General features: G+C 44.0%; 1 protein-coding gene and 1 long non-coding RNA gene across 11 annotated transcripts in view, besides 3 other annotated features; one reads left to right on the top strand and one right to left on the bottom strand.

The window, feature by feature from the left end:
- CLYBL (citramalyl-CoA lyase) overlaps positions 1-18,596 on the bottom strand; it is a 302,755-nt gene that overhangs the window by 145,598 nt on the left and 138,561 nt on the right. The window lies entirely within an intron of this gene.
- CLYBL-AS3 (CLYBL antisense RNA 3) overlaps positions 1-18,596 on the top strand; it is a 216,296-nt gene that overhangs the window by 193,319 nt on the left and 4,381 nt on the right. The window contains exon 4 of the long non-coding RNA NR_120421.1: positions 4,306-4,448. This is a non-coding gene — a long non-coding RNA (CLYBL antisense RNA 3). The remainder of the gene's footprint in view (positions 1-4,305; positions 4,449-18,596) is intronic.
- Positions 10,933-11,760: an enhancer, noted in NCBI's record as "H3K27ac-H3K4me1 hESC enhancer chr13:100404341-100405168 (GRCh37/hg19 assembly coordinates)". NCBI's record gives its function as "activates a minimal SCP1, AML or CMV promoter by ChIP-STARR-seq in primed H9 embryonic stem cells {active_cell/tissue: H9 hESC(primed)}" and the evidence as "EXISTENCE:reporter gene assay evidence [ECO:0000049][PMID:30033119]".
- Positions 15,022-15,607: an enhancer, noted in NCBI's record as "H3K27ac hESC enhancer chr13:100400494-100401079 (GRCh37/hg19 assembly coordinates)". NCBI's record gives its function as "activates a minimal SCP1, AML or CMV promoter by ChIP-STARR-seq in naive H9 embryonic stem cells {active_cell/tissue: H9 hESC(naive)}" and the evidence as "EXISTENCE:reporter gene assay evidence [ECO:0000049][PMID:30033119]".
- Positions 16,781-17,367: an enhancer, noted in NCBI's record as "OCT4-NANOG-H3K27ac hESC enhancer chr13:100398734-100399320 (GRCh37/hg19 assembly coordinates)". NCBI's record gives its function as "activates a minimal SCP1, AML or CMV promoter by ChIP-STARR-seq in primed H9 embryonic stem cells {active_cell/tissue: H9 hESC(primed)}" and the evidence as "EXISTENCE:reporter gene assay evidence [ECO:0000049][PMID:30033119]".

Below are 18,596 nucleotides of genomic sequence, written 5' to 3'. Positions count from 1 at the left end.
GTGCGGTGGCTCACGCCTGTAATCCCAGCACTTTGGGAGGCTAAGGCGGGCAGATCATGAGGTCGGGAGTTTGAGACCAACCTAGCCAACATGATGAAACTCCGTCTCTACTGAAAATACAAAAATTAGCCGGGCGTGGTGGCATCTGCCTGTAATCCCAGCTATTCGGGAGGCTTAGGCAGGAGAATCGCTTGAACTCGGGAGGCGGAGGTTGCAGTGAGCCGAGATCGTGCCACTGCACTACAGCCTGGGCAACAAGAGCAAGACTCTGTCTAGTAAAAAAAAAAAAAAAAAAAAAGAATAAAAAGATCATGCACCATGATCAAGTGAGATTAATCCCAGGGATGCGAGGATGATCCAACATATGCAAATAAATAAACATGATACATCACATTAACAGAACCAAGAACAAAGACTATATGATTATTTCAATGGATGCCAAAAAAGCATTTGATAAAATTCAGCATCGCTTTATGATCAAAACCCTCATCAAACCAGATATAAGAAGAACATACCTCAAAATATAGGGGTCATATATGACAAACCCATAGCTAACATCATCCTGAACAGGGAGAAATTAAGGACTTTCCTCTAAGATCTAGAACAAGATAGGGATACCCACTTTTGCCACTTGTATTTAATATAATACTAGAAGATCCTGACCAGAGCAATTAGGCAAGAGAAAAAAATAAAGGGTATCCAAACTGGAAAAGAAGAAGTCAAATTAGCCTTGTTCACAGATAACATGATCTTATACTTAGAAAAACAGAGATTCCACCAAACAGCTGTTAGAACTGATGAACTAATTCAGTAAAGTTGCAAAATACAAAATCAACATACAGAAATCAGCAGCATTTATATTCACCAGCAGTGAACAATATGAAAAAGATATCAAGAAAGCAATTCTATTTATAATAGCTATAAATAATATTAAAAACCTAGCAACCAAATTTAACCAAATAAATAAAAGATCTCTCTACAAGGAAAACTATAAAACACCAATGAAAGAAATTTTGGAGGACACATCAAAAAATGGAAAGATATTCTAATCTATGTTCACAGCTTTAATATCATTAAAATGACAAGACTACTTAAAGCAGTTTACAAATTCAATGCAATCCCTATCAAAGTACCAATGATATTCTTCATAGAAAAGGAAAAATGTTCTAAAATTTATATGGAACCACAAGAGACTCTGAATAGTCAAAGCAATCCTGAACAAAACAAACAAAGCTGGAAGCATCACACTACCTGACTTCAAAATTTACTACAAAGTTATTATAACCAAATCAGCATGGTACCCGCATAAAAACAGACACAGGCACATAGACCAGTGGAACAGAATGGAGAACCCAAATATAAATCCACGCATTTATGAGCAACTCATCTTTGACAAAGTCTCCACAAACATGCAGTGAGGAAAGAACTGTCTCTTCAGTGGTGCTGGGAAAGCTGGATAAATACATTCAGAAGAATGAAACTAGACCCCTATCTCTCACCATACACAAAAATCAAGTAAAAATGGATCAAAGACTTAAATCTAAGACCTGAAACTTTGAAACTACTAGAAAAAAAACACTGGGGAAATGCTCCAGGACATTGGTCTGGCCAAAAATTTTTGTGTAAGACCCCAAAAGCACAGGCAACCAAAGCAAAAAAGACAAATGGGATTACATCAAGCTAAAAAAAACTTCTGCGCAGCAAAGGAAACAATAAAAAAAATGATGAGACAATCTGCTGAATGAGAGAAAATATTTAGAAACTACCCATCTGACAAGAAATTAATAACCAGAATATATAAGGAGCTCAAACAACTGAACAGCAAAAAACAAAAAATCCAATTTAAAAACAGACAAAAGGTCTGAACAGATATTTCTGAAATGAAGACATACAAATGGCCAAGTATATGAAAAAATGGTAACATCACTAGTCATCAGAGGAATGCAAATCAAAACTACAATAAGATATCATCTCACCCCAGTTGAAACAGCTTTGATCCAAAAGATGGTCAGTAACGAGTGCTGGTGAGGATGTGGAGAAAAGGGAACCCTTGTACACTGTTGATGAAAATGTAAATTAGTATAGCCACTATGGAGAACAGTATTGAGGTTCCTCAAAGAAACTAAAAAGAGAACTGTGCTGTGATCCAGCAATTCTACTACTCAGTATATATCCAAAAGAAAGGAAATGAATATATCAAAATGAGTATGTTCACTCCTATGTTCACTGCTACCCTATTCATAATAGCCAAAATATGGAACCAATCAAAGTGTCTATCAATGCATAAAGAAACTGTTACGTGAATGTGTGTGTGTAAAATTTGCCATAAAAAAGAATGAAATCCTGTCATTTGCAGCAACATGGATTGTACTGGAGGTCATTACGTTAAGTGAAATAAGCCAAGCACTGAAAGACAAATATTGCATGTTGTCACTCATATGTGGGAGCTAAAAATACAAATCTTGTGAAGATAGAAAATATATATTTTTTTCTTGAGTTGGCGTCTCACTCTGTCGCCTAGGCTGGAGTGGAGTGGCACGATCTTGGCTCACTGCAAGCTCCGCCTCCCCGGTTCACGCCATTCTCCTGCCTCAGCCTCCCAAGTAGCTGGGACTACAGGCACCCGCCACCACGCCCGGCTAATTTTTTGTATTTTTAGTAGAGATGGGGTTTCACTGTGTTAGCCAGGATGGTCTTGATCTCCTGATCTCGTGATCTGCCTGCCTCGGCCTCCCAAAGTGCTGGGATTACAGGCATGAGCCACTGCATCCAGCCCCCAAAGACAGAAAATATTAACGGTTACCAGAGGCTGAGAAGGGTAGAGGAAAAGTGGGTATGAAGAGAAGTTGATTATGGGTATAAATATATGGTTTGATAAAGAAGTAAGACCTAGTGTTAAACAGATCAGTAGGGTGACTGTAGTTTACAATAATCTATTGTATATTTCCAAATAGCTAGAAGAAAAGAACTGAAATGGTTCTAGCATAAAGAATAGACAAATATTTAAAGTGACAGATATCCTGAGTATGGTGCTTTGATCTTTACAAATTATATGACTGTATTAAATTATCACATGTATCCTGAAACTATGTATATCTCTTATCAATAAAAAAGGAAAGAATTTTCAAAATAGCAAGAGAGATACAAATCATCACATACAAGGTATCTTCAGTAAGATGATCAGCAGATTTTTCATCAGAAACTTTGGAAGCCAAAAGGCAATGGGCCAATATATTCAAAGTGCTAAAAGGAAAAGACCTGTCAGCTAGGAATCCTATGTCTGGAAAAACTGTCCTTCAAAGTGAGGGAGAAATTCAGACATTCCCAGATTTTAAAAAGCCAAGGGAGTTTGTCACCAGTAGAGCTGCCCTGCAAGAAATGCTTAGGTGCAGAGTGAAATGAAGGCCCAAAGGTATATGAAAACATGAAATGAAAAAATGCTGGTCAGTAACTTGGACCCACATGAAGAAATAAACATCTTAGTAAAGGTAAATGCATAGGCAATTATAAAAGCCATATAAGAGCAGTGATAATGAAGTTGAGAACAGAAAAGCAACAGAGAAAATCAATGAAATGAAGAGTTGATTTTTTTAAAAGATCAACAAAACTGACAAACTTTTAGCTAGTAGGCTAAGAAAAAAGAAGACTCAAATTACTAAAATCAGCAATGGAAATGGGGATATTACTACTGATTCTATGGAAATAAAAGATCATAAGACAGTACTATGAACAATTGTATGCCAACCAATTGAATAACCTAGATGAAATGGACAAATTCCAAGACTAAACTGTGAAGAAACAGAAAATCTGAATAACCTAGATAAATAGCGAGTCTGACTAGTAAGGAGATTGAACCGGTAATCAAAAATCTCCTTTTATAATTGACTTAAGCCAATAAAAGCATTTAAAAGGTCTCAAACAGCAAAAATAGTGGAATGTATTAAGCTGAACTATATGAAATTGCTGATATTTGACCATTTTTGACCTACAAAATGGTAATTTTATATGATTCAACCTAATGTTTTGACTGGCAGTCAGGAGATGGGGTAGGAAGCATCAATGTCTTCTTCAATGAGAAGCAACATAACAGCTACTTCTCACAGATGAAAGCTCATCCCGAAGAGTAAAACAAGTAGTAGGTAGATACAGCTACTATAGTATTATTAACTGTCACTTGTCACCCATGGGTGCTGCTGGTTGACACAGCCCAGCACCAGAAATTCTGTGTCTGGTATCCTTACCTAGAGCATGAGCTCTCTGAGGGGGTGGGGGTGGTCTCACATCTCTCTGCACTGCTTGTTTCAGGGCCTGACATCAGAGGTGCATCACTCCTGTTAACTTGTTGCCTCACCAAAGCCACCTCTCCAGACTTGGGTGCGTAGAACTCACCCGCACCCCACTGTCCCTGTTCTTCTTGTGGAAGAGTCAAGCATTACTGGTGACTACAGGTAGGAGATAATTTTTATTCCCTCTCTCCTTTGCCATCCTTGAACCTTAATCCAATCCACCACCTGTTGCTTCTGCTCCTCTGTTTATCCCCTGCTTTCCATCACACATTTACATTCTAGTTTAGGGCTTCCTTAAACTTGACCTAAATGACTATGAAAGCTTCTTATTTATCTTTATTGCCTCTATTTTGTTATTTTGTTCATGCATTCATTCATTCAGTGAGCACTTAGTAAGCACCAATGGGTGACCTGCTCTGGGCCTCCACTAGCACACAAGGCAGCACTTACATGCAAACTGGAAAAAGGTGCCCCTTAGTGCTTTCCAGCAAATGGAAGAGCAGAAAGGCAACTCTAGCTCCTGCTGCAGCACAGTGTAGAGCATGACTGGCCCAGCCCCTCTTGTGCCCCTCACCAGGTGCCCTCTCTAGGGCACACCCTGCACAGCTGTATCCAGTGGCCCTGAGCTGCACTGTGCTAAGCACAGTCAGGAGGTGGCACAAAAAAGGGCATCCCCAGAGGTTCAGAGAGGGACACCCCAAAGAACAGCCTGTGAATCAGAGGCAGGACAGCACAAGGCCAGCACTGAGCAAGCTCTAGGGGAAAAGATCAAAGGCAACAAAACTGTTTGAAATAATGTAAAGAAGAAACGTATAAGGAGGATTGGGGCTTCAGGTTCTGTTGCAGACTCTGTGGTCTGGAGGGGGGCTGTCACTGGGCAGGTGGCAGAAGCCCAGTCACGGCAGTCACCGTTCCGGAGAAGGAAGGCTTTACCACGCCTCCCTCCTCCCTTCCTGCTGGTGAGTCCTCTCCTTCCCCCATCCCCAGCTGTTCCAAAATCTGTTCTGTGCTTGAGTTGTATTCAGCACTGTCTACAGCGTATGAATACAATTGCAGCAGGTGACAAGATGGAACTTGTTTTATTTTATCTTACATATTTGGAATTAGGGCCTCTAGATAGTCAATATGTAACTGTATTCAAAAAATATGCAAAGCAGGGGCTTAAGATGCGTTGAAAAAATCTGGTAGCCTTATGGTGAGTTCTCTCTAAAGAGGGACCTTTTTTAGATATGCCATCCCAGAGGGGGGCCCCCACCTGGCCTTGTTTTTGTCGTCTCCCTTCCCCCTTCACCTGATGCCATTAATTAACCATTTATATAACAAGAGGCATAGCTGGCCCGTAGCATGACGGGGTTCCCAACCCGGGATTCAATATAATAGTCACCTGGGGAGCTTTTCAAAATTGTCAAATTCTGGACCCTACTCAGTGCCATCAAATTAAATTCATTAGTAACAGGACCCAGGCTTTTTAAGCTTTCTAGGTCCTTGCCACTTAAGTGAGCTGTTGCTGCAGGTCAGCACCATTGCTCTCTTATTGCTGTCATGTGAGAGCTAGTTAGAAATGCAGGATTTGGAGCCCATCCCAGTCCTTCTTCATCAGAGAATCTGCGTATAGACAAGATTTCCAGGTGATACATATCACATAAATGTCTCCAGGTTATTCATTTTCAAACTTGGTGGCACGTTGCAGTCCCCTGGGGAATTTTCAAATATGCTGATGGCAGAGTCCCAGCCACAGACAGTTTGACATAATTGGTCTGGGATAAAACCTAGGCTATGGAACGTTTAAAAGTTGCCAAGGTGGCCAGGCGCAGTGGTTCACGCCTATAATCCCAACACTTTGGGAGGCCGAGGCGGGTGGATCACCTGAGGTCAGGAGTTTGAGACCTGCCTGGCCAACATGGTGAAACCCTGACTCTACTAAAAATACAAAAAATTAGCCAGGCATAGTGTGGCCGGTGCCTGTAATCCCAGCTACAATGGCAGCCAAGGCAGGAGAATCACTTGAACCCAAGAGGCGGAAGTTGCAGTGAGCCGAGATCATGCCACTGCACTCCAGCCTGAGCAACAACAGCGAAACTCCATCTCGAAATAAATAAATAAATAAAAATAAAATAAAAGTGGCCAAGGTGATTCTAATGCGCAGCTGAGCTGGAGGGCAGCTGCACTAGCGAATGCCAATATAGCCACTGTCTTAATGCAAGAAATTTTGCCTCAGTAAAAATTTCTAACTGAGTCAAATGCTACCATTATGTACAAGTAGATGCTGTGAAAGCAATGAAACTCAATCAGGTTTCCACAAACTTGAAAAAAATCTATATTTAAAGAAAAGTATTTTGATTAAAAAAATATATAACACTTGGCCGGGTATGGTGGCTCACGCCTGTAATGCCAGCACTTTGGGAAGTCAAGGCAGAAGGATCACTTGAGCCCAGGAGTTCAAAACCAGCCTGGGCAACACATGGAGGCCCTGTCTCTATCAAACATGTTTTAAATAATTGGCCGGTGTGGTGGTGCAAGCTTATGGTCCCCACTACTCCTGAGGCTGAGGTGAGAGGACCGCCTGAGCCTGGGGGTCAAGGCTGCAGTGGGCCATGATCACGTCACTGCACTCCAGCCTGGGTGACAGAGTGAAACCCTGTCTGAAAAAAAATAATAAAATAACATTCAAACTGCAGTAATTCAAAATAGCAATAGTAATCAAAGAAGCGCATGTCCATTTGAAGATACAATTTAGTACATGACTTCTAAACCCAAGTGAATGGCTTCTTTACTTAGCTGGTAGCTAGTTTAAGGATCTCTGCTTTGCCTGAACATTATGATCATGTGGGAAGCTTTAGTCCAGGACTGTCTAACCTTTTGGCTTCCCTGGGCAACACTGGAAGAGCGGTCTTGGCTCCACATAAAATACACTAACACTAGCCAATGAGCTCAAACAAACAAACAAACAACAACAACAACAAATCTCATAATGTTTTAAGAAAGTTTACAAATTTGTGTTGGGCCACATTCAAAGCTGTCCTGGGCCACATGTAGCCCACAGGCCACAGGTTGGACAAGCTTGCTTTAGGGGCTAAAACACCAGGCCACATTCCAAACCAATTAAATCACTCTTATGGTGAGTCCCAGGCCTCAGCACTTCTTCAAAGCTACCAGAAAGACTCCAAAGTACAGCCAAAGATGAGAATCTCTGCATTAAGGGTTGTAAGTACAACTAAGGTGTCTTACCGATCCCAAAAAGGACTTGGGCTTGCTGAACATTAATAGTAACCAGAATTTAATCCTATTACATTTAGGCAGGGGAGATAGGTATCAATTACACAACCTTCCACTGATCAAATGATAATTTTGAGATGAGCAGAAGTTTCCCTTGTTTGAAAATCATGTTGCTTCACATCCCCACCCACTGAATCCATGGCCATCATTGTAGAAGTGCAGGGGTGAGAATGGGGTGAACACCAGGAAGTCCCTGCTGAACTAGGAGCTTCATGCTAGATTCTGGTATCAAGTCCACAGTGAGATAATAAACGTGCCTTTGTTAGTGGAGAAGAAGTCTTATAATTTCCAGCAGCTTAAGGGTCTGAACATAGAATTCTTAGGAGGCAGAGTGAGAAAGGAATGGGGGATTTGAAGTGAAGTCCTTGTCACGGGCAAGACAAAGCCCTTCAGATGCTGACAGCGGTTCGGTGGGGAGAGCCCAAGTAATGAGACAGGGCTGAAGGTTCTGCCTGGTCTACTCCCCCATCCCAGGAACATGCAGGACAGTGACAGTGACTAGAGAGGCAATGGGAATGTCCAAACTGAGGGGGTGTGCCAACTTCCCACTCACCCTCTGGGAGACTTCATGGGAGCTCTGCATCAACGTGGGGCACAGAGAAGAGCAGACACAGCAATATAGATTGCTCAGGCAGAGAAGGGCAACAGTGGCATGCTATCCATTCCCTGAGGATGGAAGAATCCAGAAGTTTCGACTGACCCTTTGGCAGTGTGCCTGCAAGGGAGCTGTCAGAGTCCAGGAGTGAGGGCGCCCATATCAGAGGTAACAGGCTGGCTGGTGTTGGGTGACAGACAGCAACAGGGAGAGAAGAGGCAGGAGCTGCCCTGTCTGCAGGGCCATGATCACACCCACTGGGCACACCTCATGCATTTCCTGTACCCCAAGAACAGATCACAGGTCCACTGACCATTAGTACGGCATCAGAGACCAGTCACCAAGGGCCAAGACACATGAGCAACTTCACTGGAGCCCACAGGGAAGGCTGCCATGACATGGTTTGTACACTTCCTCCTGGGCCCCCTGTGGCCCAGAAAAGAGGAGGACAGAAATCATAACAATGAGTATCTACTTAAAAGAGATCATCTAGGGCCGGGCGCGGTGGCTCACGCCTGTAATCCCAGCACTCTGGGAGGCCGAGGCGGGCGGATCACGAGGTCAGGAGAGCGAGACCATCCTGGCTAACATGGTGAAACCCTGTCTCTACTAAAAATACAAACAATTAGCCGGGCGTGGTGGCAGGTGCCTGTAGTCCCAGCTACCCGGGGGTTTGAAGCAGGAGAATGGCGTCAACCTGGGAGGCGGAGCTTGCAGTGAGGCGAGATTGCGCCACTGCACTTCAGCCTGGGCAACAGAGTGAGACTCCGTCTCAAAAAAAAAAAAAGAGATCATCTAGGCTGGGTGGGGTGGCTCATGCCTGTAATTCCAGCACTTTGGAAGGCTGAGGCGAGTGGATCACGAGGTCAGGAGTTCGAGACCAGTCTGGCCAACACGGTAAAACCCCGTCTCTACTAATAATACAAAAAAAAAAAAAAAAAGCTGGGCATGGTGGCACACGCCTGTAGTCCCAGCTACTTGGGAGGCTGAGGCAGGAGAATCACTTGAACCCAGGAGGTGGAGGTTGCAGTGAGCTGAGAACATGCCACTGCACTCCAGCCTGGGCTACAGAACGCGACTTTGTCTCCAAAAAAAAAAACAACAACAACAAAAAAAGATCATCTAGAAGAGCTGGGCATAGTGGTGTGTGCCTGCAGTCCCAGCTATTTCGGAGACTGAGGTGAGAGGATTGCTTGACCCCAGGAGTTCAAGACCAGTCTAGGAAACAGAGTGAGACTCCATCTCTCCTCTTTTTTTTTTTTTTTTTTTTTTTGAGACAGGGTCTCACGCTGTTGCCCAGGCTAGAGTGCAGTGATGCAATCACAGTTCACAGCAACCTCCACCTCCCTGACTCAGGTGACCCTCCCACTTCAGCCTCCCAAGTAGTGATTACCTGATACTACTGGCACGTGCTACCATGCCCGGCTAAATTTTGTACTTTTTGTAGAAATGGGGTTTCTCCATGTTGACCAGGCTGGTCTCGAACTCCTGGGCTCAAACGATCCGCCCACTTTGGCCTCTCAAAGTGCTGAGATTATAGGCATGAGCCACCACACCCGGCCAAGTCCTAATACTTTTTTTTTTTTTTTTTTTTTTTTTTTTGAGACCGAGTTTCGCTCTTGTCGCCCAGGCTGGAGTGCAATGGCATGATCTTGGCTCACTGCAACCTCTGCCTCCCCGGTTCAAGCGATTCTTCTGCCTCAGCCTCCTGAGTAGCTGGGATTACAGGCATTGCCATCATGCCCAGCTAAGTTTTGTATTTTTGTAGAGATGGGGTTTCACCATGTTGGCCAGGCTGGTCTCGAACTCCTGACCTCAGGTGATCCGCCCGTCTCGGCCTCCCAAAGTGCTGGGATTACAGGCATGAGCCACCGCGCCCGGCCAATGTCATAATACTTTTGAGTCATATAAGTAGCAGTCCAGACTTGACTAAGTGCAGAAAATAACTTGGTTCAGGGCTTTAGAAAGTCATAACATCACTCTTTAAATTCAAAATGAAGTTAAAAAGAGATTGCCACTAAAATAATAACTCTAACAGCACAATAAATTCTAAGTCATTTTAATAAATGTAGGTAAATGTATCAATAAATTTTAAAGACGTACTAATCAAACCCAGTATCAATCAGGTATTCCATGCATTCCAGCTCCCTGCCAGGGCCTTTAGGATGGGACTTACATCCTACTCTACATTACAAACTGGAGAGCTAACATACATGGGCGTTAACTGTGCCTTGCACGCACCTCTGCACTGTATCTTTCCCACCCTGGCCCAAGACACCACCACCTTACTCCCGACTGGTTCCTGGGGCCTCTGTCCCTCTCCAGTCCCTTCTCCACACCACAGCCAGTCTGGACTTTAAAAAACACAAATCAAATCATGATGCTCCTCTGCTTGAGCCCCTTCCATGGCTTCCCAGTGTTCTCACATTAAAAACCAAATGTCTCACCCAGATTGGCAGGCTCCTGGCTGCCTGGCCCATCCGTCTCCTCTGCTTACCACCCTCAGTTACAGGTATCTGCTGCCAGTTCCCTGACACACCACATCTTCCTGCTCACCTCGGGACCATCCCATAAGTGGTTCCCTCTCTGGAAGGCTCTTCTGGATCTCAGCATGTCTGCCACCCTCTCATCCCTCAAGGCTCAGCCTACATGCCCTGTCCTCAGCAGGACCTTCCCCATGCCCCCTCCTGGGATGCTGTCCTCCAGAACCCCGCCCTTCCCTTCACAGGCCTTCCCCTTTTGAAATGAATTATTGGCTTTGTTTACTTGTTCACTGTCTGTCTTCCACTGGGTTCAGAGAATTTTTCCTTTTTGGCTGTCCCAGACAGGAACACCCTTCCTGTTTGGTGGGGGTGGAGGCAGAGACCCCACGGTCCTTCTCCACATCCTTTGAAAGCTAGGGAGAGGCCACAAGCATAAGCTTGGCCCATGAGATACTGCAGGTGGGGCCTTTGAGCCATGAGGGGGTGACACAAAGAAGGTGGGAGCCGGTGAAGGAAAGAGGTGCCCCCAGCAAGTGCCCAGGATGGCAGGAGGGAAGACAGCAGCGCAGGGACAGCAGCAGGAGGACAGCAGCAGGAGGGGGCAGGGTAGACAGTCTGGTTTACCCTGGCCAGACTGCCCTGGCCTGGGCTGGGCTGTGTTCTTAGGAGCTTAGTTTGGTCACTGTCCATTTTCCTATTCTCCAGCCTGTCCACCAGCCTCCCAGAAATTCCTTTTCTGCAAAAATCAGCCCCAGCTGGTATCACTCATGTGCAACTCCACAGCCCATGTGCCACAGGCCCCCTGTGGGCAGGGACTTGGTCTGCTTGGCTCAAAGCCATACATGGAGCTCACAGCACCATGTCTGGCACATGCAGGCTGAATGAATGAAAGAATGGACTCCAAGCTAGGCTGGGTGGCAGGCTAGGGAATGTTCAAGGAGAAAGGGCCACAAGTTTCCATTAGCCTCTGTCCTCAGAGGGCTAAAAAGGTTATCAGTGTGATTATTTAATGCTCTCCGTCGGCTTCACCAAACTGTCTTCCCAATGGAGTTGTGCTAATTTACACTCCCACCAGCGGCATATGAGAGTGCCTGGCTTGCTCTCCCATCCGTGGCCCTCTGCACTGTCTACGCCCAGGGTTTTGTATGTTGTGTGTGTTGTGAGTTGGAATGTGTGTAGTGAGCAAAGGTAACTGTGGAAAGGGACTGGCGATCTGAACCCTGGGGAAAGTTTTATAACTTCCTGATTTGAACAGCAATAAAACAATAATCCATGAATCATTTTAAGATCGTTGTTTCCTACCTTGAGCTGATCTATAGGCTATCATTTTATACTCCCCACCATGTGAAACACTACTATTTTTGTATTGTGGTAAAATATGTATAATGCAAAATTTACCATCTGAACCACTGTCAAGTGTACAGTTCAGTGACACTGAGTACATTCTCACCGTTGTGCAATCACCACCACCATCTATCTCCAGAACTCTTCATCTTGCAAAACTCAATCTCTGGCCCCATTACACATGAATTCCCCATTCCCTCCTCCCCTCGGCCCTTGGCAACCGCCATTTGACTTTCCATCTCTATGAATTTGACTACTCTAAATACTTCACATAGATGGAATCACACTGTATTTGTCCTTTTGTGACTGGTTTATTTCACTCAGCATAATATCTTCAAGGTTCACCAGGTGTAGGGGCTCACGCCTGTAATCCCAGCACTTTGGGAGGCTGAGGTAGGAGGACCACCTGAGGTCAGGAGTTCAAGATCAGCCTGGTCAACATGGCAAAACTCCGTCTCTACTAAAAATGCAAACATTAGCCAGGTATGGTGGCAGACACCTGTAATCCCAGCTTTTTGGGAGGCTGAGGCAGGAGAATCACTTGAACCCGAGAGGCAGAGATTGCAGTGCGCCGGGATCACACCATTACACTCCAGCCTGGGTGACAGAGTGAGACTCCATCTAAAAAAAAAAAACAAAAAAACTTCAAGCTTCAACCATGTTATAGCGTATGTCAGAATGTTCTTCCTTTTTAAGGCTGAATAATATTCCATCGTATGGATATGCCACATCCTGATATCCATAAATCTGTCAATGGACACTGGGGATGCTGCCACCTCTTTGCTAATGTGAATAGTGCTGCTACGAACATGGCTGTACAAATACGTGTTGGAGTCCGTGCTTCAATTCCATACCCAGAAGTGGGACTGCTGGATCATCTGGTAATTCTATGTTCAATTGTTTGAGGAATTGCCATATTTCTTTCCACAGTGGCTATATCATCGTACATTTCCATTCAAATATTTTTAAAATTTTTAAGCTGTACCCGTGTCCAGTAACCACTGAAGAGCTGTTTTACAACCAGAAAAAAAGATATATCTTTTATATATCCTTTGGAAATTGTCTCCACAATTTCTAATAAATTTAAGTAAGTTCTTATATGTTCTTAAACATAAGATTTTTTTTTTAAAAAAAGAGGGCATTATTTAAAAATAATACATCAATAAATTTCTTTCTTTTTTTTTTTTTTGAGGCAGAGTCTCCTTCTTTCACCCAGGCTGGAGTGCAGTGGCACGATCTCGGCTCACCACAACCTCCGCCTCCCAGGTTCCAGCGATTCTTCTGCCTCAGCCTCCCGAGTAGCTGGGATTACAGGTGCCTGCTACCATGCCTGGCTAATTTTTTAATTTTTGGTAGAGACGGGGTTTCACCATGTTGGCCAGGCTGGTCTCGAACCCCTGACCTTGTGTGATCCACCTGTCTAAAGGTTGGGATTACAGGCATGAGCCACCGCGCCTGGCCATCAGTAAATTTCTATGTAGAATACCACACAAAAATGCTGTGGCCCTTTAGCTCCTTTAAAGAGATTTTGACTCTAAGGGCTGATAAAGGTTGAAAATAAAAATTTCTTACAGAAAAGTGTGCACATATCCACAGCAGTATGACAGATTCGTAATGGATTCCTCTACTTAGCGCTGTATCTCCAATCCTTTGAGGGGGCTGAGGGGGTCGCAGGAGCATAACTGTGCTCTGTCACTGCCTCTTTCTCTGTTCTGTGCCAACAAAAACTAAATTCTGTGTTGTATGGCCTGTGGGTCTGACCTCGTCTGGCAATTCCAATGGTTACAGAAGAATCTGTAGTACTGAGTGAAGGTAAGAGCCTATTCACCCATCTTTCCCTACTCTCTTAAGTGACAGCAAAATTCACCTACCAATTTCAACCCGCTTTGACTATTAATAACTAGGTATTTACACCAGCATCTATGATAATTGAGGCCTACTTATGTTCTCACTTTGCTAAGTTCCCAAGTACCCTGAGAGATTCCTTCCCTATTTTGAAGAACTATTTTTTTTTGGTTACTATGGCAACCATGCAAGGAGAAAGGGGAGCTTTCCATGGACACGGGAGCAAAAGAACAGCTATTTGTCCTCCCACTGGCGGAACAGGGCCATTCGTGAGATTAGCATGTGGTGCCAATATAAATAAGCGTGCAGCCTGCTTCAGGAAGGCCGAGAAGACATTTTCAGAGCAAACTCTCTCCTGAAGCAATTATATCACACCTCAATGAAGTGCACTGTTTTGTGCTGAAATGAAGACATGGTCTTTTGTGCCCAAAGCAGATACACAAGGGAAGCCAGTTTGTGGTCCACCATGGCTTTGCTTCTAAGGAAGGACTCAGGGTACAGGATGGGGGCAACTCCTAGGCCAGCCTTCTGGCTATTGTGGGGTTCCTGGTACAAAGCAGGGGCACCGGGAAGGAACGGCCCTCCTGGTCTACCCTGGCCACTCTATTTGTCATGGAAACCCATGAAAAGGGTTGGACATCAGATAAAGGACAGGCTTGGCAAGAGTCAAGAAAAAAGCAGAATCCTTATTCTTGTCCGGTTTAGTAAAGTTTGCGTTATACTGTCTCACTGCAGCGTACTGCCTCCTCAGACCATCGGGACACCAGGGGCGAGGGACGTTCCTACAAGTGTCCCAATGACGGAAGTCTTTTTTCTTTTCTTTTCTTTTTTTTTTTTTGAGACAGAGTCTCGCTTTGTCGCCCAGGCTGCAGTGCAGTGGTGTGATCTTGGCTCAGTGCAACCTCCACTTCCAGGGTTCAAGTAATTCTCATACCTTAGCCTCTCAAGTAGCTGGGACTACAGGTGCACCAGACACCACACTGGCTAATTTTTGTATTTTTAGTAGAGGTGGGGTTTCACCATGTGGTCCAGGCTGGTCTCGAACTCCTGACCTCAGGTGATCCGCACACCTTGGCCTCCCAAAGTGTTGGGATTACAGGCGACCTGCCTGGAAGTCTTTTTTCACACAGAATGAGAGAGCAAACAAGCATCCATGTCAAAAATTAAAGTTCTTCATTATGCTGAATGAAATAAGCCAGACACAATAGGACAGACATTCTACGATTCTCACTTCCATGAGGTGCCTACAGTCATCAAATTCATACAGATAGAAACTAGAGGCCGTGCGCGGTGGCTCATGCCTGTAATTCCAGCACTTTGAGAGGCCAAGCCGGGTGAATCATGAGGTCAGGAGTTCGAGATCAGCTTGGCCAACATGGTGAAACCCCATCTCTACTAAAAATACAAAAAGTTAGCTGGGTGTAGTGGCAGGTGCCTGTAATCCCAGCTACTCAGGAGGCTGAGGCAGGAGAATCGCTTGAACCGGGGAGGCGGAGGTTGCAGTGAGCCGAGATCGTGCCACAGCACTCCAACCTGGGCGACAGAGTGAGACTCCATCTCAAAAAAAAAAAAAAAAAAAAAAAAAAAACACAAAACTAGAGTGATAGTTGCCAGGGGAGAATTGGAGTTTTTGTTTTTGAGACAGAGTCTTGCTCTGTCACCCAGGCTGCAGTGCAGTGGCACAATCTTGGCTCACTGCAACCTCTGCCTCTCAGGTTCAAGAGATTCTCCCACCTCAGCCTCCCAAGTAGCTGGGAATACAGGCACTCACCACCATGCCTGGCTAATTTTTGTATTTTTAGTAGAGTTGGGGTTTTGCCATGTTGGCCACGCTGGTCTCGAACTTCTGACCTCAAGTGCCCACCTGGGCCTCCCAAAGTGCTGGGATTACAGGCATGAGCCACTGCGGCCAGCAGAGAATTGGAGTTTTTGTCTAATGGGTATAGTTTCAGTTCGGGAAGATGAAAAATTCTGGAGATGGGTGGTGGGGATGGTCGCACAATAATCATAATGTACTATTTAACGCCACTGCACTGCATGCTTGAAAATGGTTAACATTTTATGTTATGTATATTTTACCACAATTAAAAAAATAAAATTACCCCATCTATTGGCCTTATCACATCCATGCTATCATTTCATAAACAAAAACGTATTGATCAGATTCAGGATAAAACACACATTCAACAAATATTGAGTCCACCACACGCTGGCCCTCGCTAAGGAAGGCCTCCTAAGGTAGGCTGTACAAACACGGACCAGAAGCTACTGTCTGTTAGCACTTTGTTGTCACTCACTGAATCTGCCTTGTGAGGCCACACAGCCCTAGTTGTCCAGGCAGGTGCATGGCTTATGTCAGCGAAGTCCCAGGAACAGGAAGACCCATACCACTGTGGTGACCATTCATGAATCCCAAATAAAAGGGCAGTTTTTCCATGAAAACAGAGAGAGCCCCGTTTGTCTCCCGTGTGGGTTCATCTTTCTATAAATGTGGCCGTGGCAGCTCCCGGAGTGGCTCCACCTCACAGCACATGGGCACCCGGTAGCTCCTTTGAGGGTAAACACTGACGCTTTTCTGAAAGGAGGATGAGGATGAGGAAAGAGTTGGCCTAAATCAGAGCGGCAGGAGGCAAGGAGGAAGAGGAAGGCGGGGGAGAGGGCATTTGAGAGCAGGTGAGAGAGAAAACCAGAAAAAGGAGAAGGGGGGCAGCTGAGGGAAAGCCGGGGTGGATAAGAAAGTGGGAGGGTAGGAACGAAGGAGGAGGGGAGGAGGAAAAGAAAGGGAGCATGGGGGTGGGGCGGGGGGGAGAGGAGAGGAGCTTTTTGTTTTTCTGCAAAGCTCCTTGTTTTGTGTGGAAGAGGGAATGACAATGGCGCATGTGCCTGTTAGTGGGTATTTGCCTTAATCCCACTTTCTGGCTCTACTTTTGGTGAGAGAAGGAGGAGCAGAGGTTTTATCTGACGGAAAACTGGAGGGATTTTTTTTCCTGCCGTGACTCCGAGGTCAAGAGGGAAACCTGCGCTCCTTCACTGAACACGTTCAGGCACACAATGCGATTAGCATCTCTTCTGTTTCTGGGCTGCTTCTAGCAGGGGCTCCTGGAAACACAAAGGAGTCAAAGGATGTTGTTCATTAATAGTTAACTGTTAATGTCGCTGAGAACTTGGTCCAAGAATGACTGCTCAGGACTCTACCCAAAGAGATTTGATAGATGGATTTCCAAGTGTAATCCCAGCATTGGGAACTATGAGGTATAGCACCTGTCAAGTGCATGACATGGGAGGATTTGGTAAATTGTAATTAAAACAGAAAGGACACGCCAGCCTGAGTTCTCTTTGCCTCTGTAGAGATCATTAATAATTTTGGATCCTGGAACTCTGTGTGTAAGGAACAAAGAAGAAACTTGTTCCCTTACTGGCCAATGAGGAACATTCAAAGCAGAGGCCCCTAGTTAGAATGCCCACTGTTGATCTTCCTAAGGAGATCTGATTCTAAAAACAGGTGCAGAAAAGACAATATTTAGTAGCTAATGTATTGAAATAGCCAGTGAAGAGCACAGGACATATCATTACCATGAGACCACCAGAAATATCCACTAAACTCTTCCATTTAGAGATTCCATTAGTACTGGTGATTCTATGTAAAAAAAAAAAAAAAAAAATAGTATTTAAAGCTGAAATGACTATTTCCTAGCTTGTTCAGTTAGAGGTAACTGAGCAAATGTGAACTAAAAAGATCAGTTTCTCCTTAACTTTTTTTTAAAGGTCACGAAAGACTGTCAACCTGACAGATGTAACCATGGATTCTTTTACAGAGTTTTTCAAAAGCTCAAAGGCTGCTAAACGTGTCAAATTAATGCATCTCCCCCAAGACTGGGTACTTTGATATGAAAGTAATCATGGAAGAGCATTTTTTTTTTCTTCTAGAAAATGGCTCTGCAATTTTGAGAAAATAGTTCTTCCCACATCTGAAAAAAATTTTTTTTTTTGGTAACTGTCATGAAAATGACCTGGGTTAATGAAATCTCCGTTTTCATCCTAGATTCTCTCAAAAATTCCTTTCAAGTGTCAATCTCAATGAAATGAGGCCAAAATGTTACATAGCTTAGAATTTTGACTTTTTTTTTTTCTATTTAGCCACAGTCCCTTGATTATTCTGATTTGTACATTTTTGGGAGAGTTTAATATTGATCACTCTCTAGCACTGAATAATTTTTAGAAAAAAACACAGTCTGAGTCTAATTGCCAGACCCATACCACACACACGAAAGCTGTGAATACAAGCTGTGATCACGAATCACGTGTATGTGGCTTTGATTGTATAGGACCCATGATAAGATTAAGATTGTTTTTTCCTTCTTAATTATTCAGAGCTAAGTGTGATGCAAATTAAAACTAAACATATGGATGTGATCGTGAAGGCTTTTCTAACATAGTTGGGTTTTGTTTTTGAAGTATGTTTAATGTGCTATAAGCACTAATTCCTTTAAATATCTATTTAAGGTAAGACTTCCTAGAACTTCCTCTAATTTTAAGGGAGCTTAATATTTTTTTTTCTTAATTCAGTACCACACAGCAATGCCCCAGTTTAAAGTGCAAAACAGTTTCTTTCCCCTTTATTTTCAGCTCCCTGCCAAACCCACTCTTATGGAATATACACAGTTACTTAGTTTCCAGTGGAACTAACTGGTCAAATTCAGAGAGTAACACTTTTCTTGTAAATACAAAAAGAATAAAACTGAAAATTAAGAGCTGTATGTCTATAAT

The sequence above is a fragment of the Homo sapiens genome, chromosome 13 (genome assembly GCF_000001405.40).
Source record: "Homo sapiens chromosome 13, GRCh38.p14 Primary Assembly".
In the NCBI taxonomy this organism is placed as follows: domain Eukaryota; kingdom Metazoa; phylum Chordata; class Mammalia; order Primates; family Hominidae; genus Homo; species Homo sapiens.
Note: the sequence above shows the minus strand (reverse complement) of the source record. Positions and strands in the feature narration are given on the sequence as shown.